At 40.5% G+C, this 26,942-nt stretch overlaps 1 protein-coding gene, 1 long non-coding RNA gene and 1 pseudogene across 3 annotated transcripts in view, besides 3 other annotated features; 1 reads left to right on the top strand and 2 right to left on the bottom strand.

Annotated features, from left to right (window-relative positions):
- ACTR2 (actin related protein 2) overlaps nt 1–812 on the bottom strand; it is a 43,423-nt gene extending 42,611 nt beyond the window's left edge. For both annotated transcript variants that reach the window (NM_001005386.3, NM_005722.4), the window contains exon 1: nt 686–812. In NM_001005386.3, coding sequence (NP_001005386.1) covers nt 686–733 — 48 coding nt within the window. In that variant the 5' untranslated portion in view covers nt 734–812. The remainder of the gene's footprint in view (nt 1–685) is intronic.
- Nucleotides 43–931: an enhancer, noted in NCBI's record as "H3K27ac hESC enhancer chr2:65454846-65455734 (GRCh37/hg19 assembly coordinates)". NCBI's record gives its function as "activates a minimal SCP1, AML or CMV promoter by ChIP-STARR-seq in naive and primed H9 embryonic stem cells {active_cell/tissue: H9 hESC(naive and primed)}" and the evidence as "EXISTENCE:reporter gene assay evidence [ECO:0000049][PMID:30033119]".
- Nucleotides 471–660: a silencer, noted in NCBI's record as "silent region_11578". NCBI's record gives its function as "represses an Ori minimal core promoter by ATAC-STARR-seq in GM12878 lymphoblastoid cells {active_cell/tissue: GM12878}" and the evidence as "EXISTENCE:reporter gene assay evidence [ECO:0000049][PMID:35858748]".
- Nucleotides 932–1,821: an enhancer, noted in NCBI's record as "H3K27ac hESC enhancer chr2:65453956-65454845 (GRCh37/hg19 assembly coordinates)". NCBI's record gives its function as "activates a minimal SCP1, AML or CMV promoter by ChIP-STARR-seq in naive and primed H9 embryonic stem cells {active_cell/tissue: H9 hESC(naive and primed)}" and the evidence as "EXISTENCE:reporter gene assay evidence [ECO:0000049][PMID:30033119]".
- The window catches only part of LOC124907779 (uncharacterized), a 38,010-nt gene continuing 12,111 nt past the window's right edge, over nt 1,044–26,942 (top strand). Inside the window, exon 1 of the long non-coding RNA XR_007086461.1 lies at nt 1,044–1,162. This is a non-coding gene — a long non-coding RNA (uncharacterized LOC124907779). The remainder of the gene's footprint in view (nt 1,163–26,942) is intronic.
- Nucleotides 22,365–23,567, bottom strand: VDAC2P5 (VDAC2 pseudogene 5; annotated as a pseudogene).

Raw genomic sequence — 26,942 nt, 5'->3', positions numbered from 1 at the left:
GGGATCCTAGGTCACCCAAAACCACTCAATGGAACATGCTGGTCTCCGTGGGCCTACTCCTGGGCCAAATACTAGTATGTAAAACAAAAAGTGAACGATGCGCTGCCGATCTGGACCCCTTCCCTCGAAAAAACTAATAAAAAGCCCAACAAACACAGCGAAAGGGCTGAGGTCCACACTCCATGACAGCACTTCCCTTTTTTTTTTTTTTTTTTTAAGTAAACCCGCTTCCTGCTTCTCGTTTGGTGTATCTTCAACTATACAGGAAGAGGAAGGCCTCTAGGTCTTTCTCCTTTTTACAAACCGGTGGCCCTGGGGAAAAGAGCCCTTCTCGGAACACACAAACCGAGCCTTTTACGCTTCCGTCCGCTTTAGCCCAATTGCCCCCGCATTAGCGCGGAGCAGGTCCCTGCCGGGCGGTCAGTAGGCTCCATGTCCAGTGCCGGTCTCGCCCGCCGCCCCCACCCGGAAGGGTGAGGGGGTGGCAGGCTAAATGGGTGGCAGGCTCAAGGGAGACCAGGGAACGGCCGGCTCGCTCCCACGCCCGCGGAGGTGGGAGGCACCGCCCCGCGCCCCTTCGCCCCGAGGGCCCGGAGGTGCAGCCCTGGGGGCCGAGGGCCCGTGCGCCAGCTGCTCGTCCCCGCCGGCGTCTGTGGCCGCCAAGGCCTCCTCGCGCGGCCCTTACCCCGGTGCCGTTGTCGCACACCACCACCTTCCTGCCCTGGCTGTCCATCGTCCGCCCAGGGAAGAGCCGCTGCAGCCGCACAACCTACAGCCACCGCCGCCCGGCCGTTTTCTCTTCTTCCTCTTGCGTCTTCCCGGCCCCTCCTTCGGCCCAACTTTTTTCCCCCGACCGGAAGCCGCCGCCGGGCTCCGCCCGTCATTTAGCTGAATGCCTGCACGAAAAGGGTGGGACGGGCAGGCAGCGCGACTGGCAGCGGTGAGCTCCAATAAAAGATGGAGGAGCGTCGAGGCCCCTCCCGCAGCTCCGCTTCCGGCTCGGCTGTCACGGTCGCTGCCCACCCGGGTTCTTCGCTGCTTCTAGTTCCGGGCGCTTTGCCGGGCGTTAATGGCGGCCAACATCGCCGGTGCTGCGGCTTTCTCCCTAAAGTGTCACAGGAGCTAAGGGCGCTGCTTAACGAACTGCAGAAGACGCAGGCAGGTGAAGGACACCGGTTCTGCTGCGGCAGTGGAATGTGGCGGAGAAGCTGGCGGGTAGGGCGGGGAGCAAGCCTGGAGGTCCTGGCGGACCCCACCATTCGACAGGGCTTGGTGTGTTATTGCTTCTAGGCCTTTTCAGCGGACAGAACTGGGATGGATACACACATGCTTATTTGAAATCATGCGTTTGTTCCATACTCCAATGTCAGCCCACCCCTTCTTTGCCCAAGTTGCTCTATGGTCAAGTGAGCGAGAGCAGGTGCCTGCATTTCCAGCCTCGTGGCTCACCGCCTCCTTCCAGTAGTCCCATGTTGCTTCACACCTCTTAAGTACATGTACTTCTGTGAACCCAGAGCCTTGGCTTTGAAATCAGACAACCCCAGTTTCAAACGTGGCGCTGCCACTCACGAGTTTTGTGATTTTGGCATACCCCTGTCTGCATGGGGATAATAACTTCTATCTCCATAGGTGTGGTGAGGATAAAAGTCTATGCATGGAGGAAATGTTCATTCAGTGGTAGCTATTTCTAATTCTGTTCTTCTGGACCTATGATTCTATCTACGATGCCTCATTTTTTTTCCTTTTTAATCAATTGGCAAACTTGTGCTCTGAGACCCAGCTTGTTACATCTCTGATGACAGCTGATATCCTCAGGATATTCCGTACTTCCTTTCTCCCTATTACTTTACTATGAATATATGAATAACATTGTGCTTATTGCATGCAACAAATATTTATTAGATGAATGACATTAAAATTCACCTTTAAAATGCCATCCTTTATGAGAGGTGAGAAATAGAACTTTTCCTTCGACATGGCTGTACATGTTCAACAACTAGAATAAAACAGTCATCATGAACCCTCAATCCAGTATTCTTTTTATAATATAGCTGCCTGTCAGTTTTCACTGTTCTTTTATTAGACCAGTGATTTTCAAACCTTTTTAAAGGCATACAGTGCTTTATTCAAATCTAATCTTATATGGAACCCTCAACACATAAATATTAAGATAAAAATAAAGCTGCCATTGTTGCAATTAGAAGTTTGAGAGGTTAGAATAGGTAGGAAGTCTCGGAGGAACATTTCTTCGTTTTACCTGCTTTAACAGTCAGAGAAGTACCTCAGCCAGCAGAAAAATTTATTTGTTCATAAATTCCTTGAGTATAGAGTCCGTATCTTATTTTTGTGGCCTCCAATGCTAGTGCTGTGCAGTTTTCTTGAAAGTGCATTTTATTGGTCTCAGCAAATTGAACTCAAGCATTTCTGTGTTCTTTTACTTTTCCTCTTTGTGGAATTAAGGGGATTGCTAATTTGTATTTTTAAAGAAAGAACATTATTCCGGGCGCGGTGGCTCACGCCTGTAATCCCAGCACTTGGGGAGGCCAAGGAGGGCAAATCACCTGAGATCAGGAGTTCAAGACAAGGCTGACCAACATGGCAAAACCCCGTCTCTACTAAAAATACAAAAATTAGCTGGGCGTGTTGGCACGCGCCTGTAATCCCAGCCACTCAGGAAGCTGAGGCAGGAGAATCGCTTGAACCCGGGAAGCAGAGGTTGCAGTGACAGAGATCGTGCCACTGCACTCCAGCCTGGTGAGAGCAAGACTCTGTCTCAAAAAAAAAAAAAAAAAATTGGCAAGTTTGGCCCTAAAATTTATATGAAATGAAAAGGAACCAGAATAAAAGGATTTCGAAACAGAAAAAGATGGAGAACTTCCACTACCTGAATTCAAAACTTATTATAAAGCTACAGTAATGAAGACTGTAATACTGGCATAGAGGCAGATATATCGATCAATGGAATCAAATAGTCCACAAATAAACCTTTACATTATGGTCAGTTGATTTTCAACAATGGTGCTAAAACAATCCATGGGGAAAGGGTAATCTTTTCAATGAATGATGTGGGAGGGAAAAAAAAGAACTTTGATTCTTACCTCACATCACACATAAAAATTGATTTAAGTGGATCATAGACCTAAATATAAAAGCTAAAACTATAAATTTCAGAAGAAAAAGAGGAAAATCTTTTGATATTAAGTTAAGCAAAGTTTGCTTAGATATGACGCTAAAATCGTGATCTATAAAAGAAAAAATTGATAGTTGACATAATAGAAATTTAAAGCTTTTAGTTCATGTATTGAAACAAAAAATCTAGACTGGGACAATGGCTCACATCTGTAATCCCAGCACTTTGGGAGACCAAGGTGGGTGGATCGCTTGAGCTCAGGAGTTCAAGACCAGCCTAGGCCAGATGGTGAAACCCCATCTCTACAAAAAATACAAAAATTAGCTGTGCATATAGTCCCAGCTACTTGGGAGGCAGAGGTGGGAAGATGGTTTGAGCCCAGGAGGCAGAATTTGCAGTGAGCTGAGATTGCGCTACTACGCTACAGCCTGGGTGACAGCCAGACCCTATCTAAAAAAAAAAAAAAAAAAAAAAGAAGAAGAAAACAAAAACAAAAAATCTTGGTCTGTCTTAGGCAACAAGCAATTAAAAAAAAAGTAGAAAATAAAGCAAAAGGGCCGGGCGCAGTGGCTCACGCCTGTAATTCCAGCACTTTGGGAGACTGAGGCGAGTGGATCACCTGAGGTCAGGAGTTTGAGACCAGCCTCGCCAACATGGTGAAACCCCATCTCTACTAAATACAAAAATTAGCTGGGCGTGGTGGCGGGCACCTGCAATCCCAGCTACTTGGGAGGCTGAGGCAGGAGAATTGCTTAAATCCAGGAGGCAAAGGTTGCAGTGAGCCAAAATCATGCCACTGCACTCCAGCCTGGGCAACAGAGCATAACTCCATCTCAAAAAAAAAAAAAAAAAAGAAAAAGAAAAAGAAAAGCCATGAACTAGAAGAAAATATTTGAATAGATATTTTACCAAAGAAGATTTATGAATGGCAAATAAGTACATAAAAAGATATTCATCATCATTAATCATTAGAGAAATGCACATTGAAAGCATAATAAGATAACACTTAATACCCACTAGAATGGCTATAATCAGAAAAATAGAAAACAAGTTTTGGCGGGGCTAGGTGGCTCACACCTGTAATCCCAACACTTTGGGAAGCCAAGGCGAGTGGCTCACTTCAGGTCAGGAGTTTGAGACCAGCCTGACCCAACATGGTGAAACCCCGTCTCTACTAAAAAATACAAAAATTAGCCGGGCGTGGTGGCAGGTGCCTGTAATCCCTGCTACTTGGGAGGCTCAGGCAGGAGAATCGCTTAAACCTGGGAGGCAGAGATTGCAGTGAGCGGAGATCGTGCCACTGCACTCCAGCCTGGGTGACAGCGAGACTCCGTCTCAAAAACAAACAAAACAAAATAAAACAAAAAAAAATGGAAAACAAGTTTGGCAAGAATGTGGAGAAACAAACACTCCTACATTCCTGGTGAGAATGTAAAATGGTACAGGCACTTTGGAAAGCAGTTTGACAGTTTTTTAAAAAATTAAGCATAAATTGCCATATAACCCAGCAATTTCACGCCTAGGTATATACCTAAAAGAAATGAAAACATATGTCCATGGACTCATACCTACATGTCCATTGCAGAATTACTCATAATAGGCAAAAAGTGGAAACTATTCAAATGTCTTATCAGTTTGTGAATGAGTAAACAATATGTAGTACAGCCATACAATAGAATATTTGGTGATAAAAATAAACCAATACATGCTGTAACATGGATGAAAGTAAAAAAACACTATAGCAGATAAAAAGACTGTGATTTCATAGGAAAATCACAAATATAGAAAAAGCAAGATTATAGATACAGAAAGCAGGTTAGTGATTGCTGGGGCTGAAACTGGAAGCCAGGTTTGGCTGCAGATGGGCATGGGACAACTTTACGGATTGATGGAATACTAAAACTAGATTTTGGTAATGGTTACACAACCATAAAAATTTACTAAAAATAAACTGCACACTTGTAATAGGTAAATTTTGAGATGTGTAAATTTCATGTTGTAACTCCAATAAGGCTTTAAAAAATTTAAGTTACCTGCCCAAATGTACCTATCATGTAGCAGAAGCAGGATTAGACACAGGTGTGCCTGTCCTCAAAGCCTGAGCTCTGTTTACCCAGAGTTTTGGAAACTCCAGATCTATCATGAAAACCTAAGTCATTCTTAACCCGAGTCATCCTACTCAGGAATGACTTTTTTATTATAATTTTATTGTTTTTTATTTTATTGTATTTAAAAGAAATAGAGATTGTGGCTGGGCACGGTGGCTCATGCCTGCAATGCCAGCACTTGGGGAGGCCAAGGCAGGTGGATCAGTGGAGGCCAGAAATTCAATACCAGTCTAGCCAACATGGTGAAACCCCATCTCTATTAAAAATACAAAAATTAGCTGATTGGCCTGGGAGGCAGAGGTTGTAGTGAGCTGAAATCACCCCACAGCACTCCAGCCTGGGTGACAGAGTGAGACCCTGTCTCAAAAAAAAAAAAAAAAAAAGGAAAGAAAAAGAAAGAGGGAGAGCAAGAAAGAAAGAGAGAGAGAGAAAGAAAGAAAAGAAAAAAAAAGGAAAGAGGGAGGGGGAGAGAGAGAGAAAGAGAGAGGGAGAGAGAGAGAGAGATTGGGTCTCGCTATGTTAACCAGGTTGGTCCCCAACTCCTGGCCTCAAGTGATCCTCATCTCATTGGGATCCTCCCTCCCAATCCCAACGTGTTAGGATTACAGGTGTAAGCCACTGCACCTGGCCTAGGAAGGACTTTTTGGGAGGGATTCTATCATCTCACTTGGATCTGGGAATACAGGTATGAGCCACCATGCCCAGCCTGAGAACAATACAATTATTCTTTTCTAGCTATTTTGAAATATATGATAAAATATTGTCAACTATAATTTCCCTATTGTATTTTCAAATACTAGAACTTCTATCTAACTGTATTTTTTTGACAATTAACTAATTTCTCTTTGTCTTCGCCCTCCCCAGTTTCCCTTCCCAGACTCTGATAACGACCATTCTATTCTCTATCTCCATGGTATCTACTATTTTACCTCCCATATGTAAGTGAGAATATGTAATATTTGTCTTTCTGTCCCTGGATCATTTCACTTAGCATAATGTCCTCCAGCTCCATCTATGTTGTTGCACATGACAGGATCTCATTCTTCTTTATGGCTGAATAGTACTCGATTGTGTATGTGTACTGCATTTTCTTTATCCATTCATCCATTGATGGACACTTAGGTTGATTCCCTATCTTGGCTATTGTGAATAGTGCCGCAGTAAACATGAGAGTGCAGATATCTCTCCAATATACTGATTCCTTTCTAGGGATGTATACCTCGCAGTGGGGATTGCTGGATCATATGGTAGTTCTACTGATAAACACACTTAAAACAATTTCAATACCTGCCAGGTGCGATGGCTCATGCCTGTAATCCCAGCACTTTGGGAGGCCAAGGCAGGTGGGTCACCTGAGGTCAGGAGTACGAGACCAGCCTGGTCAACATGGTGAAACTCTATCTCTGCTAAAAATACAAAAATTAGCTTGGTGTGGTGGCACGTGCCTGTAATCCTAGCTACTCCAGAGGCTGAGGCAGGAGAATCGCTTGAACCAGGAGACAGATGTTGTAGTGAGCTGAGATGGTGCCACTGCACTCCAGTCTGGGTGACAGAGTGAGACTCTGTCTCCAAAAAAAAAAGAGATAATAAAACAATTACAATGCCTTTATTATAACTAACAAAATTTACAGTAATTTCTTATTGGCTAATAGCCCATATCCAGTTTTTCCTAATTGTCTCAAAAATGTTCTAAACAATGTCCAAAAATTACATTTGTTTGATATGTCTATTTTATTTTATCTTATTTTATTTTATTTTTGAGATAGAGTCTTGCTCTGTCACCCAGGCTGGAGTGCAGTGGCGCTATCTCGGCTCACTACAATCTCCACCTCGCAGGTTCAAGCAATTCTGCTGCGTCAGCCTCCTCAATAGCTGAGAGTACAGGCGCATGCCACCACACTCAGCTAATTTCTGTAGTTTTAGTAGAAATGGGTTTTCACCACATTGGCCAGGCTCTTGACCTCAGGTGATCCACCCGCCTTGGCCTCCCAAAGTGCTGGGATTATAGGCATGAGCCACTGCTCCCAGCCGATATGTCTATTTTAGTTTACAAAATGGTGCGGCCACTTTGGAAAGCAGTCTTGCAGTTCCCCAAAAGGTTTAATATAGAGTTACCATATGACTCAGTAATTTTACTCCTAGGTATACACCCAAGATAAATGAAAAAAGTTTTTTTTAAATCATATTCTAAACAAGATTCACAAATTGCATTTGCTTGATATTTGTATTTTAGTTTATAACACTTTCTTCTCTCTCTCTCTGTCTCTTCCTGAGACAGGGTCTCTCTCTGTTGCTTAGGCAGGAGTGCAGTGGCATGATCATAACTCACTGTAACGTTGAACTAGACTCAAGCAATCCTCCCGCCTCAGCCTCCTGAATACTAGGACTACCGGCATGTACCACCATACCCAGCTAATCTTTAAAAATTATTTTGGAGAGATGGTGTCTTGCTGTGTTGCCCAGGCTGGTCTTAACTCCTGGCCTCAAGTGATCTCCCCACTCAGCCTCCCAAAATGTTGGGATTACAAGCATGAGCCACCACACCTAGCCCCTCTCTTTTTTTATGCCTTTTTTTTTGTCTGAAGCCTGGGTCATTTGGCCTGTAGGATTTCTCATGTTCTGGATTTGGCTGACTGTTCCCATAGTGTATTGTTCTTGTTCCTCTAACCTCCATATTTTTTATAAACTAGTAGTTAGATCTAGAAACTTGATTAGGTTTAGGTTCAGTTATTTTGGCAAGATTATTCATAGGCAGCAGCATGTACTTCTCATTGCATCACATTTGGAGGAATGTGATGTCTGGGTGTCCCACATTTAGTGATGTTAAAATTATTCAGTGGGTTCTGGTGTTATCACATGATCTATCACAGAGTTCCCACTGAACCTGTCACCTAATAGTTTTAGCAGCCATTAATAATTGCTGCCTTATTGGACCAGGTAACATGACTAAGTGCAGTTTGCCTAACTCATAACTTTTTATTTCCAAAAACTTATAGGTTTTGACCTTATTAGCCATTCCAGTTGCTTTCAAATAGAAGAATTATAGTTTTGAAGCTAGTTGATGATTTTTTAAAATAAAAAAAACTCTTAGGCACTTCTTGTGTACAATATAAACTATAATTTTAGTAGACATTTTAGTTGTGATATTCGTTATTCTTTTTCTTATTTTTTTTTTTTTTTTTTTTTTTGAGATGGAGTCTTGCCCTGTTACCCAGGCTGGAGCGCAGTGGCATCATCTCGGCTCACTGCAATCTCCATCTCCTGGGTTCAAGCGATTCTCCTGCCTCAGCCTCCTGAGTAGCTAGGATTACAGGCATGTGCTACCATGCCCAGCTAATTTTTTGTATTTTTAGTAAAGATGGGTTTCACCATGTTAGCTAGGCTGGTCTCGATCTCCTGACCTCGTGATCCACCCACCTCAGTCTCCCAAAGTGCTGGGATTACAGGCATGAGCCACTACGCCCAGCCTTGTTTGTTTTTTTGTTTGTTTGTTAATGAAAGTCTCGCTCTGTCAGCCAGGCTGGAGTGAGCAGCCTGATCTCAGCTGACTACAACCTCCACCTACCAGGCTCAAGCAGTTTTCCTGCCTCAGCCTTCCAAGTAGCTGGGACTACAGGTGTGTGCCACCACATACAGCTAATTTTTGTATTTGTAGTAGAGATGGGGTTTCACCATGTTGGCCAGGCTGGTCTCAAACTCCTGGTCTCAAGGGATCCTCCTACCTCAGCTTCCCAAAGTGCTAGGATTATAGGTGTGAGCCCTGCGCCTGGCCCCTCATTCTTTTATCTCTCTCTCACCTCACATCATCTACAGAAACTAACTCAAAATGGATCAAAGACCTAAATATAAGAGCTAAAATCATAAACATAGAAGGGATAGGTATAAATGTTTATGACTTCAGATTAGGCAATAGATTTTTAGATATAACATCAAGGGTACAACAACAAAAGAAAAAATAGATAAATTGGACTTCATCAAAATTTAAAATGTGTGCACTACAAATGACTCCATCAAGACAGTGAAAAGACAACTCACAGAAAGATAGAAAATATCAGCAAATCATATATCCTATAAGGGACGTGTATGTAGAATATACAAAGAACTTTTACAACTCAGTGAACAAAACAACCAAAAAACAAAACAAAATAGCCAGGCACAGTGGCTGGCATCTATAATCCCAGCTACTCGGGAGGCTAAGTTGGGAGCATCACTTGAGCCCAGGAGTTTGAGGCTGCAATGAGCCATTATCACACCACTGCTGTACTCCAGTCTGGGTGACAGAGTGACATCCCAACTCTAAAAATAAAAAAAAAAAACAAAGAACCAAAATTTTAAAATGGGCCAAACCATTTGAGCAGACATTTGGCCAAAGAAGATATAAAAATGGCCGATAAGTACACGAATCATTAGCCATCAGGTAAATGCAAATCAAAATAGCAAGATTACATTTCATACCCACTAGGTTGGCTATCATCAAAAGGACAGTAAATGTTTTTTGTGTTTTTTTTTTTTTTTTTTTTTTTTTTGAGACGGAGTCTCACTCTGTCGCCCAGGCTGGAGTGCAGTGGCGCGATGTCGGCTCACTGCAAGCTCCGCCTCCCGGATTCACGCCATCCTCCTGCCTCAGCCTCCCGAGTAGCTGGGACTACAGGCGCCCGCCACCACGCCTGGCTAATTTCTTTTTTTGTATTTTTGGTAGAGACGGAGTTTCACCATGTTAGCCAGTATGGTCTCGATCTCCTGGCCTCGTGATCCGCCCGCCTCGGCCTCCCAAAGTGCTGGGATTACAGGCGTGAGCCACCGCGCCCAGCCAAAGGACAGTAAATGTTAATGAGGGTGTGGAGAAACTGGAACCCTCATGCATTGCTGGTGGAAATGCAAAATGGTGCAGCCACTTTGGAAAGCAGTCTGGCAGTTCCCCGAAAGGTTTAACATAGATTTACCATATGACTCAATAATTTTACTCCTAGGTATATACCCAAGGGAAATGAAAACATGTGTCCATACGAAAACTTGCACACAAAGATTCATAGCAACATTAATCATAATACCCAAAAAGTGGAAACAACCCAAATGTCCATTACCTGGTGCGGGGATAAAATGTGGTGCTCATATATCCATATAATAGACTATCTTTGGCCATAAAAGGGAATGAAATACTGATACATGCCACAGCATGGATGAACCTCCAAAACAACATGTGCTGAGGGAAAGAAGCTGGTTGCAAGAGGCCACATATTGTATGATTCAATTTTATATTAAGTTTCCAGAATAGGCAAATCTATAAAGACAGAAAATAGACTAGTGGTTGCTTGAACTGGGTGGGAGGTGGGGGAGCAGGTGGCAGAGAAATGGGGAGTGACTGCTAACAGGTATGAAATTTCATTTTGTGATAATGAAAATGTTCTAAAATTGATTGTGGTGATGGTTGCACAAATTTACCATTGAATTATACACTTCAAATGAGTGAATTATATGATATGTTGATTGTATCTCAATAAAGCTATTAATGTTATTTCAGGAAAAGAAATTTGGGGATGAAAGTTAAAGCACTTCATTCAGGGATACGCTGCTCCGCTGTTAGGACTAGAACTTGATTGATTGATTTTGTCAGTACTTTTTCCAATCCAAAAGTTATCTTTCATATCAAATACTCTGATTTTGTGACTGAACTAACTCCAAATCCTAAATGCTGAGTCTTGCTTCACCAAATAAAGCTGAGATTTTTAGAGAGAAAAAAATATTCTCTTTAAGCCAGTTGAAGTGATGATCCAACTCTGACAAGGACAGTCACAGAGGCCTTTTTAGTGGTGGCACAATATAGAGGCTAAGAGCTAAGAATCCAGCATCATATCGAAGACTTGAATTTAAAACCTGGACCCCCTACTTCTTAGCTCTCTCCTTGAGGAAATTGCTTAATCTCTTACATGGATTGTCTCATTTGATACTCCCATTGGTCCTGAAATGCAGATATTACTATTCCCCTCCGGTTTTTTTGTTTGTTCGTTTGTGTTTTTTTATTTATTTTTTTAAACAAATGAGAAAACTAAAGCTCAGCAAATTTAAGTAACTGGTCAAGTTCACACTTCCATAAACAGTAAAACTGCTGTTCATAGCTTTGTCTACTTACCTCCAAAACTATGCATCCTAATCAATTATAAACCATAATCATCCCAATTTATCAATTTAGAATGGAAGACATTCCATTTATTTATTTATTTATTTATTTATTTCAGACAGTCTGGCTCTGTCACCCAGGCTGGAGTGCAGTGGTGAAATCTCGGCTCACTGCAACCTCTGCCTCCTAGGCTGAGACAATCCTTCCACTTCAGCCAGTAGCTGGGACTACAGGCAGGCACCACCAAGGCCCAGCTAATTTTTGTTTGTTTTTTTGTTTTGTTTTTTGTTGTTGTAGATACAGGGTTTCACCATGTTGGCCAGGCTGGTCTTGAACTCCTAAGTTCAAGCAATCCTCCGTCCTCGGCCTCCCAAAGTGCTGGGATTACAGATGTGAGCCACCACGCCTGGCCCATACCTTTTATTAACCAACAGATGTGAGCCATCTCTTCAGAAGCCTCATTTTCTGGTTTTAAAACGCTTGAAAGTTGAATTCGTAATCAGAAAATTGATAGGCAAGTGTGGTATCTGAACAGAGAGGCTGGAACTATTCCATGCAGATAGAGAGAGAATCTCCCTCCCTTCCTAACACCAGTAGGGTTCTGACCCAACCAGATGTTATTAGTCAACAAATATGTACAGAACACCCACGGTATGCCAGGCTCCATTCTAGGACCTGGGCATGGTTTTTGCCTTTATGAAGCTTACATTCTTGTTGGGAGAGACATATTGAACAAGCAAACTTAAAAAATGTGATAAATTCAGATAATGAGAAGTGCTATAAGGAAAAATAATTAAAAGTGACTTAGAATGGGGAACACCGCTCTAAGGAGGTAGCACACAACCTGAACCTTTTATCATTGTTAGATTCAGCTGTGAGCGACAGAAGACCCTGGTAACAGTGTCTTAGAACATCGATGTTTATTTCTCTGCCACCTAAATGAAGTTGGTAGGTAAACATTCTAGGGCCGAATGACACTCCACAGCAACAGGGATCTGGCCTCCTGTCCTTATGGCTTTGCCATCTTCATCATACAGCTTCTGCTTCATAGTATATAATGGTTGTTTTTGCTACCCTTATCATTTTTACATCTCAGCCAGTAAGAAAGAGGAAGGGGTGGGGTTTGGGACATGGAGATGATGAAGTGCAAGCTTCTTCCTTTTAGGGACTGTTTCTGGAAGCTCCATATTTTATAGTGTTTCTAGTTCCATCTCACTAGCTAGAACTTCGCTAGTCCTATTTACCTGTCAGAGAGGCTGGAAAATGTAGTCTTTGTTCTGGATAGCCATGTGCCGAGATAATAATTAGGAGTTTTATTTCCAAGAAAGAGGGAAGGATGGATATTGGGGGACAACTAGTGATCTTTGCTTTGAAGAAAAGAAAGACAGAGTGAAATAAAAAAAATTAGTTTAGTGTGTTCATTCAAGGAATAGAAGAAGGCCCGTGGGACTAGAGTATACTAAGTAAAGGGAAGAATGGTAGATGGAGGGCTTTGTAAACCATAATAACATTAGCTTCTAGTCCAGTAAGAGTGGCATACCTTTGGCAGGTTTTGTTTTAAAACTAGACTTTGAGAAATAATGACATCTGGTCAAGCATGACACATTTTCTCCACTCTTTCCTTGATTCCAACAAAGTGACAGCTAAGGTTTTGGGTTTTTTAAAAAAACAAAACCCACAAGAAGACAAAAAGACATGGAAAAGAGAGAAAAGAAGATGATCAGCAAATATAAACTGGAGAGCAGATGAAGGAATGACAATTAACTAAGAAAACTTTAGAAGGCTGAAAACTTAATGCCTGAGGTGAAAATGGAGGGAAAAAAAGCAAGCCTGTTCATGAAGCAGAATCCCGAAAAGGACCTGGTTGAAAATATGTCCAAATCAGTTGGACTCTTAAATAACCTCCTTCAGCCCTTGCAGCCAATGACCCACTCCTCTGTAATGGAGTAGAGCAGTTTTACTCTCAGGTTAGTTGAAGAAAAAGGCAGTCTATTCTCAGGGACAAGCATATCTGAGGATGAGAGCCTTATTAGAAACAGGGAGGTAATGAGAAGTCTATATCCAAAGGGTGAGAAACCTAATCTCCTTCCCAATAAGCCGGTAGTCAATTTTCCACTTCCACCCTACCTCATTCATCTTTCTCTTTTGGTGAAGAAAAAAAAAAAAAAACACCTATTCAGAGACAATATCAGCAGATACTGACAGCTGGTGGTCCCCTAACAAAAGTAGTCAAACCCCTGCTGACAGTGAAACCCACTAGTCAGCGAGACTCAGCATTTCAACACACAGCTTCCAATCAGTGGGGCTTTTTTGGTTTTGTTTTATTTTTAGTGTTTTATTTATTTATTTATTTTCTTTCTTTCTTTTCTTTCTTTCCTTCTTTAGAGACAGAGTCTTGATCTGTCAGCCAGGCTGGAGTGCAGTGGCTCAATCAGAGCTCACTGCAGTTTTGAACTCCTGGCCTCAAGTAATCCTGCCACCTCGGTCTCCCAATGTGCTGGGATTATGGGCATGACAGCCTAAACTCATCAGACCAATATCAGAATATTATTTCTAGAAAGAAAGAGCAGAAAGCAGAGATAAAAAATTATTTGAGAAAAATAAAATATTATTTTCAAGAGTCTAGAAACAATTTTCTAGATATGCTGCCTTCCTCAGATAGTTACTGAAGGGAAGTGGGGGAGTTACTCAAGAAATATGAAATCAGAGGAACTAGGAGGCCAGGGATCCAATACAGGAGGGAGACAAGAATTCCATGAATGCTGATGGAACAAAAATCCCAAGGAAGGAAATCAACCTCTCTCTCTCTTTCTCTCTCTCTCTCTCTCACTCACACACACAATAGATTTTCTGATGTATTTTAAAACTTCGAGAAATATATACTTGTAGTTTGGTGATGAATTAGTGATAGCAAGAACAAAGAAAAACTAAGGGCCGGGCACAGTGGCTCACACCTATAATCCCAGCACTTTGGGAGGCCGAGGCAGGCAGATCACCTGACATCAGGAGTTCAAGACCAGCCTGGCAAACATGGTGAAACCTTGTTTCTACTAAAAAAGAAAATCCAAAAAATTAGCTGAGCATGGTGATGCACGCCTATAATCCCAGCTACTCGGGAGGCTGAGGCAGGAGAATCTCTTGAACCTGGGAGGCGGAGGTTGCAGTGAGTTGAGATCGCGCCACTGCACTCAAGCTCAGGCAACAAGAGTGAAACTCCATCTCAAAAAAAAGAAAAGAAAAAAAGAAAAACTAAGGGAAAAATGATTAAGTCTATGAAATGATTAAGTCTAGGAAAAAATTTTAAAACTATAGGCCGTGCGTGTGGCTCACACCTGTAATCCCAGCACACTGGGAGGCCGAGGCAGGCAGATCACTGGAGGTCAGGAGTTCGAGACGAGCCAAAATGGTGAAACCCTGTCTCTACTAAAAATACAAAAATTAGCTGGGCATGGTGGCACGCGCCTGTAATCCCAGCTACTCAGGAGGCTGAGGCAGGAGAAGCGCTTGAACCCGGGAAGCAGAGTTTGCCGTGAGCCGAGATCCCACCACTGCATTCCAGTCTGGGTGACAGAGTGAGATTCCGTGTCAAAAATAAATAAATAAATAAATACAATTGTAATACCAAGGAAATGTCATCTTATGGACTATATGACTCAGTATGAATGTAAATATTGAATACTGGTCTAATCCGATATGATATATTGGTGTTCGGATGATAAGGGGAAAGGAAATGTGTATTGGGGAGGTATCCTAAGATAATTAAATGATCTCCCACAGTAGATGGTTAATAGAAGATGTCTACACTGAAAAAGATCAAGAAATAGTCAAATAAGGATGTTTAGAAATAGAGAGTTAAATATCAGAAGAAACAACTAAAGGAGTTAAAGTTTTTGCCTTATGGGAGCAGAAATTAGGAGTAGAGAGAATAAGAAATTAGGAGTAGAGGGAATAAGGCAGGGGTCTGATGCTCATCTTTCTAAATCTTGTTAAACCATTTAACTTTCTAACACGTGCGTGTGTGTATGTGTGTGTGTGTGTGCGCGCGCACGCGTATGCATACGTATTTGTAGGTAGGTAGGTTGTGGATGGAATACTCAGTACTAAATAAACAGTGGTAGATTTTTTGCTTTTTGTTTCTCCTTTTGTCAAGGCTCTATTACCTTACACACTATAAATTGCAAGATGATAGTGTATCCTGTTTAATTAAATGTTAAGCCTAGAGCTCCCTTGGGCTTCTGGATAAAATACGGAAGACACTCTACTATAAATTCATCAACAGCACTTTTACAAACCTTTGCAACATTTTAATACATGTTGCTACCAAAACTCAGGCACTTACTGTTGATTCTTTTAGGCTTTTGCTTCCAAGTTTAATTTTTTTGTCCTTGAGGCCTGCTGACCCAATGTGCTGTCCAACAAGTGAACAATGAAGCTCCTGTTGTTTAAGTTTTATTGTAAGTTGTATAATAGGTCTACACTGTAATTAAATGTCTATCACTTCTATAAATATAAACATATATGCAATAAAACACATAGATGATAAAACTTATGCCTATAGGATCTATTACACAATGATGTATCATTTTTATTGCTCTCAGAGTTTGACTTCTAGTAGCTGACTTTTCAATAAATGTCCAGTGCCCCTAGTTTTAAAAATAAATAAATTTGAGTTTCTCTTTTCATGTGATTTTAAGGAAAAAAAAAAGCTTGACAACAGTATTCAACATCAAAATGTGAACTTCTGACCTCCACATGATCTGTCATCACCAAAAGAAAAGTAAATGATCACAGCAATTGCAAATGTTTAAACTTAAGAATCATTTGGACTATCTAGATAAGATGTGTAAAATGTGATTAAATTCAGAATTTATAAATCTTTAACCTAAATAAGATATGCTATAGTCTCAATTTTGTGATTAAAATCTGATATAATAGTTTGCAATTGAAAAGAGAACAGTCTGGGTGTGGTGGCTCATACCTGTAATCCCAGCTCTTAGGGAGGCAGAGGTGGGAGGATAGCTTAAGCCCAGGAGTTCAAGACCTGCCTGGGCAATATATCAAGACACCGTTTAAGAAAAAAAAAAAATGAAAAGAGAACAGACCAGGCATGGTGGCTCACACCTGTAATCCCAGTACTTTAGGAGGTCGAGGTGGGCGGATCACCTGAGCCCAGGAGCTTGAGACCACCCTGGCCAACACGGCAAAACGCTGTCTCTATTAAAAATACAAAGATTAGCTAGGCATAATGGTGCACACCTGTGGTCTCAGCTACTTAGGTGGCTGAGGCGCGAGAATCGCTTGAGCCTGGGAGGTGGAGGTTGCAGTGAGCCCAGCTCACACCACTGCACTCCATCCTGGGCGACACAGTGAGACTCTAGCTCAAAAAAAAAAAAAAGAAAGAAAGAGAACAAACAGAAGACTTGTGTGTTCAGTGATAAATTTACATCTCTAATGAAAAATTAAAAAGGAATATATTCCATGGCCAAGTCCCCCAAAGGCAGTGTACCTGGAACAGAATGAGCTTTTTTTCACAAGCTGTTTCAGGCCTTGAAGCTTAACAAACAAGTCTAAAATAAAAAATATGTGTATTTATGGAAATAAAAATAGAGCCTAGTAAAACTAAGCTCAGATCCTGCCTCTTTCATTGGCTTGGAAGCCTAAGGTCTATGTTGTCAACCTCCCTGGGGGATTACTTCTTTTTCTTTAATTGATACATAATAATTGTACATATTCATGGATACAATGATATTTTGATGCATACATGCAATACATAATGATGACATCAGGGTAATTGGGATATCCATCACCTCAAACATTTATCAGTTCTGTTTTTTTTTTTTTTTTTTTTTTTTTTGGAGATGGAGTTTTGCTTTTGTTGCCCAGGCTGGAGTGCAATGGCTTGATCTCAGCTCACTGCAACTTCTGCCTCCCGGGTTCAAGATATTCTCCTGCCTCAACCTCCCGAGTAGCTGGGATTATAGGCATCCACCACCACGCCCGACTAATTTTTGTATTCTTAGTAGAGACAGGGTTTCACCACGTTGTGCAAGCTGGTCTCAAACTCCTGACCTCAGGTGATCTGCCCGCCTCGGCCTCCCAAAGTGCTGGGATTGCAGGCCTGAGCAACCACGCCCGGCCAAGTTTGTTCTCTTTTTAACATATAGAGCATTTTAGATGTACCATGAGTCCCTTTTTCTTCCCAGTATCACTCCCAGTTTCCTCTCACTTTCCCAAGAAGTAGTATTGCCTTAAGTCATGATGAGTTCTTAGAGACCATTTAAAAAAACACTCATTAGATGCACATGAAAAGAGGTTCAACACCATGAGCCATTATGGAAATGCAAATTAAAACCACAATGAGGCCGGGCATGGTGGCTCACACCTTTAATCCCGGCACTTCAGGAGGCCAAGGCAGAAAAATCATTTGCGCCCAGGAGTTGGAGACCAGCCCAGACAACGTAGTGAGGACCCCATCTCTACAAAAAATAAAAAATTAGCCGGGAATGGTGGCTCACACCTGTGATCCCAGCTACTTGGGGGGCTGAGGTGGGAGGATCATTTGAGCCCAGGAGTTTGAAACCAACATGGGCAACATAGTGAGACCTCATCTCTACAAAAAAATTAAATATTAGTTGGACGTGGTGGTATGCACCTGTAGTCCCAGCTTCTCGGGAGGCTGAGGTGGGAGGATCACTTGAGCACAGGAGATTGAGGCTGCAGTGAGCTGTAAGGTGCACTCTAGCCTGGACAATGGAGCAAGACTCTGTCTCCAAAACAAACAAAAAAATGAACAAAACCACAACGATATACCATTACATACCTATTAAAATATTAGAATAACTAAAATTTTTAAAAATAATGCCAAATGCTATTGAAATACCAAATACAGAAACTGTATTTCTCATATATTTCTGGTCAGCCTATGAAACGATACACTCAGGGTGGAAAATACCATTTCTTATAAAACTAAACACTTACCATACAACTCAGCAACTGTACAACTGATGTGCACTTACCATACAACCCAGCAACTGTACAATTGGGCATTTACCCCAGAGAAATGAAAACATTTATTCACATGGAAATGTATGCATGAATGTTCATAACAGTTCTATTTGCAATAACCAAAAACTGGAAACAACCAGTTTTTGTCCTTCAATGAATGAATGGTTAAACAAAATGTGATACACTCATCCCATGGAGTACTATACAGCAATAAAAAGAAAGAAATTATTGATACACACAACTTGAATAGATCCCAAAGTAATTATGCTAAATTTTTTAAAAACTCATTCTTAGAAAGTTACATACTGACATACTGTATACTTCCATTTCTATAACATTCTTGAAGTGACACAATTATAGAGATGGAGAACAAATTAGTGGTTGCCAGGCATTAGGATGTGGGAGGCAGGGAGTGGGATGGATATGACTATAAACAGGTAGCATGAGGGATCTTTGCAATGATGAAGCAGTTCTGTATCTTGACTGTGGTGGTGGTTACATATATGATAAAATTGCATAGAAGTACACACACAAATGAGTGCATATAAAACATGAAATTTGAGGTTGTGGATTATATCAATGTCAATTTAATAGTTTTGATATTGAACTGTGCTTATGTAATATATTATCACTGGGGGAAACTGAATGAAGGGGACATGGGACCTCCCTGTACTATTTTTTGCAATTTCTGTTTATTTATAATTATTAAAAAGTTAAAAAGCCAAATTGAAAAGTATCCACTAAATGCATATATGTTCCTATATAAAATTCATACTATTGATTGCTGTATGTGTCTTTTCTATAGGTAGTATCATCCCAAAAGTGTCATTCTGCAAACTTGCCTGCTCACTCAACATTCCAATTTTGAGATCCATCCAAACTAATACATAGAGAACTAGTTCCTCTAATACTGCATAGGATTCTATTATATTAATATGTCACATTTTATTTATCCCTTCCCCAACTTACGAACATTTCGATTTTTTTTACTGTTATAAAGCTTGCTGCAATGAATATCCTTGTATGTGACTTGTGCACATACAAGTTTTTCTAGTGTAGTATTTCTTAGACCTAGAAGTAATAAAAATACTAGCTGTCAATATTTCCTGAGCACTGACTGTAATATTACTATGATTGGTGAGAAAACCGAGAAGTTAGCTTACTTGCCAAAGGTCACATAGCTAGTCAAACCTATCATGTCCAGCTCCAGCATCTGCATTATTATCCACTGCAGCACATGGTTGCCTCCAGCAGTCGGATAAAAAACTGTTTCATTGGCCGGATGTAGAGGCTCACGCCTGTAATCCCAGCACTTTGGGAGGCTGAGGTGGGCAGATCACTTGAGGTTGGTAGTTCCAGACCAGCCTGGCCAACATGACGAAACCACATCTCTACTAAAAGTACAAAAAGAAAAGAAAAAAAAAAAAAAGCTGGACATGGTGGCAAGTGCTTGTAATTCCAGCCACTCAGGAAACTGAGGCAGGAGAATCGTTTGATCCCGGGAGGCAGAAGTTGCAGTGAGCGAGGCCACACCACTGGGCGATAGAGCAAGACGCAAGACTCTCCAAAAAACAAAAACAAAAACCTGTTTCACCACCTGCAAAGGATATACTAGAAAAGTGCAGTGAAGCATTACCTTTAACCAATTATATCATACAGTTTTCTTTTCTTTTTTTTTTTTTTTTTTTTTTTTTTGAGACGGAGTCTCACTCTGTTGCCCAGGCTGGAGTGCAGTGGTGCATTCTCGGCTCACTGCAAGCTCTGCCTCCCGGGTTCACGCCATTCTCCTGCCTCAGCCTCCTGAGTAGCTGGGACTACAGGCGCCCGCCACCAAGCCCAGCTAATTTTTGTATTTTTAGTAGAGGTGGGGTTTCACCTTGTTAGTCAGGATGGTCTCGATCTCCTGACCTCGTGATCCGCCTGCCTCGGCCTCCCAAAGTGCTGGGATTACAGGCATGAGCCACCGCACCTGGCTCATACAGTTTTCTTATTTTGAACTCATGTTCAGTTAAAATTTTCTGGTCTCTTTCCCGAATGCTTATCCAGGTGTCTTCAATTTTACTTTGCGATTTAATGTTTAAACCTAAAACAGTCTTTTAAAATCTTATTCTGGTTAATTTAGTCTTCTTGATTTGAGACTAATTCCGGCATGTTGAGATAAATATTTATTTTAAACACAAGAGTTTTCAGAGCATTACCTATAAAGTATTCCTGCCAAAAATGTTGAACCAGAATAAATTGGATTTTTAGAGGTAACTTCCATTTAGAGGAAATAAAAAGGGTAGAGGAATAAGTTAAATGATACCACAGGGAAGCAAATACACACATCCATAATGCATAATATTCTGTACAACGGTTAACACAGTTTTTGCAACAAATCGTTGACAGGATTAATGTGTGTGCGTGCATGTGTGTGTGTGCACTCAGGTGCGCATGTGTGTGTCGACGGGGAGGGGGAATCTTCTCTAAATGGAAAGAAATCTAAGAAACAAAACAACCAATTGTAATAATATAGACCTTTTTTGTACCTGAATTTGAATAAACCAACTAAAAAAAAGATATTTAGAGACAATTTTGAAAGTAGGATTATGTGGATTAGATGGTATTAGAAGATGCCAAGGGATTATTGTTAATTTAGGTAAGTACTATAAAGGCATTGTGGTAATGACAGAAAATATCCATTAAAAAAAAAAGATTCTTACCAAGTACTTGTAGGTGAAATGATATGATGTCTGGAATTTGCTTTAAAATACTTCAGGAAAAAAAGGATAGATTCAGCAAATGGGGCAAAATCTCGATGATGATTGAATCTGGGATATAAATATATAGGAGTGCATCCTACTCTTCTCTAGGTATATTTTTAATACGTTTAATAAGTTTTATAATAAAATGTAAGGTGTTTTATTATAAAAGTAACAGAAAACATGTCATGGGGAGAGTTTAGAAGCTCAGAAAAGTAAGAGAAAAAAATAGACTTTATAACCCCCTACCTACTACCGACTGTTAAAGTTTAGATACATTTTCTTCTAATATTTTTCTTTTTCTTCTTCTTCTTCGTTTTTTTTTTTTTTTTTTTTTGACACAGGGTCTTGCTGTGTTGCCTAGGCTGGGGTGCAGTGGCACGATCTCAGCTTACTTCAACTTCCGCCTCCCAGGTTCAAGCGATTCTCCTGCCTCAACCTCCCGAGTAGCTGGTATTACAGGTGCGCACGACCACACCCGGCTAATTTTTGTATTTTTAGTACAGACAGGGTTTTGCCACGTTGGCCAGGCTGGTTTCAAACTCCTGACCTCAAGTGATCTGCCTGCCTTGGCCTCTCAAAGTGCTGGGATTATAGGCATGAGCCACCGCACCCGGCAACATTTTCTTCTAGTATTTTTCTATGTCTCTTCTGATTTGATTTTCATAATTGAGATGAAATTATATAATTTCGTGTCTCATTTTTCCATTTACATACATAAGCATTTTAAAATATTATCATGAATTTTCTTAAGCATCATACTTAATGATGAACATAGTACTGTAAAGTACCCAAGTTAAAATAATTTTTTCTTTTACCTTAAAAATATGTTATTGAGGAATAATTTGCAAAGACTATACTGCATCTATTTAAAGTATGCAATTTTATTAATTTTGACAATGGTGATCTTATCTTTTTTTTAAAGACAGGGTCTCCCTCTGTTGCCCAGGCTGCAGTGCAGTGGCACAGTTATAGCTCACTGCAGCCTCAAGCTCCTAGGCTCAAGTGATCCTCCCATCTCAGCCTCCCAAGTAGCTGGGACTACAGGTGTGTGCCACCATGCCTGGCTATTTTTAGTTTTTTTTTATTTTTGTAGAGATTGAGTCTCACTATGTTACCCAGGCTGGTCTTGATCCTCCCGCCTCGGCCTCCCAAAGTGCTGGGATTACAAGTGTGAGTGACCACACCCAGCTGGTATTCCTGTCTTGAGGTTTATTTTATCTTATGTTAATATAAAAACTTCAGCTTTCTTAGACTTTTTTTTTTCATAAAGGTCTATTTCATTATTGGTGGGTAGCGCATTTAACAGTTAAATACATTTAAATAATGTATAGGTGACTGCAGGACTGCAGCATTGGTAACTAGATAACCAATTCAACTAGAAACCAGCTAACAAAGAACTGTCTAAATACTTAAAATACAGCTCTTGTTGAGATCATCCTTTGTTTTGATCATCTTCTTGGGGGAAAAAAGCCTGCTGCTGGTCACAATGGAAATATATTAAGGCCAAATCTTCTGATATCCATTCCCAAAGGTTTCTTTCAGCTGGATTAAGCCTCCAACTCCAGGGCGAGCCCAACCTTGTGGCCTCCAGCATTAATGCTCTTCCCGTCTACCAGAGCAGAGAGTGTAAGCTTCACACCAGGCCTCAGAGTCTGAGTATAGCCTACTCCAATTAAGCTAGAGTTGTTGACTTTTGCAGAAATGGAAGCAGTGGGATCCAACTGATATTTAGCTGCAATGCCAAAACGAGTGCAGTTGGTACCTGATGTCCAAGCAAGGTTTACTGAAGTGTCAAGATCTTCACAAACTTTCTGATAAATTGATCCTCCAAATTCTGTCCCATCATTGACATTAGTGTGTAGCTGGAAGTCCCCAGTCCTGTAGCCCACTGCAAAGTTATTCCTTGTCAGCTTTGATTTGGCACTGTCAAAGGTCATCTGGTAGCCAGCAAGCCAGCCCTCATAACCAAAGACAGCTGAACCATGGATTGCAGGTCCAGCAAAATCAAAGTCAACATCACAACCAAGGTTTATACACTCCCTCTTGTAAGACTTGATTTTACCACTTTTCTTTCCTGTGTTTGGTGAGAAGGTAGTATCAAATGTCAGTTTCAAACCTTGACAAATCTGGTCTTCAATTGCGATTTCTGTTCCCAGAGTGTTATCAGTGTTCCACTTTTCTGTGAAAGTCAGACCATACTCACACCACTTGTATTTGGTCTCCAGGGTCCCAGTAACTTTACCAGTGTCTGTATTAGATGAACCGGACGTTGAAAATTCCACGCCACTGCAAGACTTTGTTTTCACATCCAGTTTCACCAACCCAAAACCAAATCCTTTGTTGAAAATATCTCTGGCAGCTTTGCCAAGGTCAGCATATGATGGAGGAATACACATTGGACGCGCGCAAGTCTGTCCGTGGGTCGCCATGGCGAGGCCGCGGGAAGAGGGGAATCTGGTGGTCTCCTGAGCGGGGCCGCCGCCACCGCTCCGCTAGCTGCTGAAGCCGCTTGGCACGCTCGCGGTCGGGCTGCAGCTGCAGCAGCTGGAGGGCGAAGTGAAGGGCTTTCTTAGACTTTTTGTTTACATGGTTTATTTTTTCTTCCATTTACAATCAACCTCTCTGTGCCATTTATTTATTTATAATTGACAAATAATAATTGTATATATTTATGGTGTACAACCTGATGTTTTGAAATATGTATACACTGTGGAATAGCTCAATCAAGCTAATTAGTGTATGTATTACCTCACATATTTATCATTTATTTGTGGTGACAGCACTTAAAATTTACTCTCTTAGCAATCGTCAAGCATACAATACATTTTATTAACCATGGTCACCATATGGTGCAATAGATCTCTTGAACTTATTCCTCTTGCCTAACTGATATTTTGCAACCTTTGACCAACCTCTCTTAATTTGCCTCTCATTCCCCCAGCCTCTGGTAACCACTATTCTACTCTGCTTCTGAGTTAAATTTTTTGAGATTTCACATATAAGTGAGATCATATGGTATTTGTTTGTAAAAGGAGTCTAACAAGCTATTGGCTTAATGAAATTACATTAAACTGGCTTAATCAAAATACAGAATTTGTTGACATGTGGCTGAAAGGTTTAGGAGTAGACCTCAAGCATGGTGTGACCAGGGACTCAAATAATGCTATTAAGACGCAGTCTCTCTTCTCCATCTCATGGCTACGTTTCCACTGTGTTGGTTTTATTTCAGGCAGGATTTACTTTGAGGTGGTAAGACGATGTCAGCAATTCTCCATCCTATATCATTCTAGGTTCTAAGTTACTTGAAGAGAAGTATTTTCCCATGACTCATTATGATTAGATAAGGCTCTAATCCATTTTGATTTGATTTTTGTATATGGTGAGAGATAGGTATCTAGTTTCATTCTTCTGCATATGTTCTTGGCACCTTTGTTGAAAATGAGTTAACTGTAGATGTATGGATTTATCTCCGGGTTCACTATTCTGTTTCATTTGTCAACATGTCTGTTTTTATGCCTTGCTGTTCTGATTACTACTGTTCTGTAATATAATTTTAAAAAATTTTTTTGAGACAGGGTGTCGCTATGTTGCCAAGGCTGGTTTCAAACTCCTGGGCTTATGCAATCCTCCTGCCTCGGCCTCCCAAAGTGTTGGGATTACAGGCATGAGCCACCATGCCTAGCTCTGTAATATAATTTTAAGTCAGGTAGAACAGAGGGGACAAGAGTGCAGGGGTTCACATGCAGAGTCAGAAAGGGAAAGAAGAAGCAAGAAATTCAGACTCCATGTGTTTGAGAGATCAAGAAAGACTAAAAGCCAGTCTGCAGCAAGCACTTTGGAGAGTGAATCTGAGTGGAGAGTAACGTGGAGTGTCAAGAGATGTGCAGAAAATCCAAAGAAGTCTGAGGACATTGTGTGCATCAAGAAAAGAAGAACCAGAAGTCACTGGGACAGTGATGATACTTAACGTAGAAATCTAAGTGGGAAAAATATAACAAAGTTAGTTTTGTGATTAAAAAAATTTTAAGTCAGGTAATGTGATTCCTCCAGTTTTGTTCTTTCTGCTCAGGCTGGCTTTGGCTATTCTGGGTCTTTTGTGGTTCCATATACATTTTAGGTTTTTCTTTTTTGTTTTTTGTTTTTTTTTCAATTTCCATGAAGAATGTCATTAGGATTTTGATAGGGATTGCATTGAATCTATAGATTGCTTTGGGCAGTATGGACATTTTAACAATATTGATTATTCCAATCCATGGACATGAAATATCTTTCAATTTTTTGTGTCCTCTTAAATATCTTTCTTTTTTTTTTTTTTTTTTCTTTGGAGACAGAATCTTGCTCTATCACCCAGCCTGGAGTGCAATGGCATGATCATAGATTACTGCAGCCTTATACTTGGAACTCCTGGGCTCAACTGATCCTGCCACCCCAGCCTCCCAAGTAACTAGGACTACAGCTGTACACCACCATGTCCAGCCAAATTTTAAAATCTTTTGTAGAGACAGTGTCTCACTATTTTGCCCAGGCTGGGAATTTATTTCACCAATGTTTTATAGTTTTCACTGTAGATATCTTTCACTTCTTTGGTTAAGTTTATTCCTAGTCATTTTATTTTGTTTGTAGCTATTGTAAATGCGATTCCTTTTTAAATTTTTTTTCAGATTGTTCACTGTTGGCATATAGAAATGCTACTGATTTTTGTATGTTTGATTTTGTATCCTGCAACTTTACTGAATTTATCAATTCTAATAATTTTTGATGGAGTCATTAGGTTTTTCCAAATATATGACTATATCACTCGCAAACAAGGATAATTCGACTTTTTTCTTTCCAATTTGGATGTTCTTTATTTCTTTCTCTATCTCATTGCTCTAGCTAGGACTTCCAGTACTATGTTAAATAACAGTGGTAAAAGTGGGCATCCTTGTCATGTTCCAGATCTCACAGGAAAGGCTTTCAGTTTTTCCTCATTCAGTATGATGCTAGCTGTGGGTCTATCATATATGGCTTTTATTGTGTCGATATATGGTCCTTCTATACCAAGTTTTTTGAGAGTTTTATCATGAAGAGATGTTGGATTTTATTGAATGCTTTTTCAGCATTAATTGAAATGATCATATGGCTTTTGTCTTTCATTCCGTTGGTAGATCACATTGATTGATTTGCATATGTTGAACCATCATTGCATCCCTTGGATAAATCCCACTTGGTCATGATGAATGATCTTTTTGTTACGTTGTTGAATTTGGTTTGCTAGTATTTTGTTGAGGATTTTTGCATCAATGTTTATCAGGAATATGGGTCAGTAGCTTTATTTTTTTGAGGCACCTTTGTCTGATTTTGGTATCAGGGTAATACTAACCTTGTAGAATGAGTTCAGAAGTATTCCCTCCTCCTCTATAATCTGAATAAGATTGAATCTGGAATAATCTGAATAAGATTGGTACTAGTTCTTCTTTACATATTTAGTAAAATTCAGCAGTGAAGCCATCGGGTCCTGCGCTTTTCTTTGCTGGGAGACTTTTTTTTATGGCTTTAATCTCATTACATGTTATTCATCTGTTCAGATTTTTTATTTCTTCATGGTTCAATCTTGCTAGGTTGTATGTGTCCAGGAATTTACCAATTTCTTCTAAATTTTCCAATTTATTGACATATAGATGCTCATAGTAACCGCTAATGATCCTTTGAAATTCTGTGGTATCAGTCTTAATGTCTCCTTTTTTATCTCAGATTTTATTTATTTGGGTCTTCTCTCTTTCTTAGTCACATTAACTGTCTGTCAGTTTTGTTTTTCTTTTCAAAAAATCAAGGTCTTATTTCATTGATCTTTTGTA

This window comes from Homo sapiens, chromosome 2, assembly GCF_000001405.40.
Source record: "Homo sapiens chromosome 2, GRCh38.p14 Primary Assembly".
Lineage (NCBI taxonomy): Eukaryota > Metazoa > Chordata > Mammalia > Primates > Hominidae > Homo > Homo sapiens.
The sequence above is the reverse complement of the archived record's forward strand: the minus strand, read 5'-3'. Positions and strand labels throughout refer to the sequence as shown.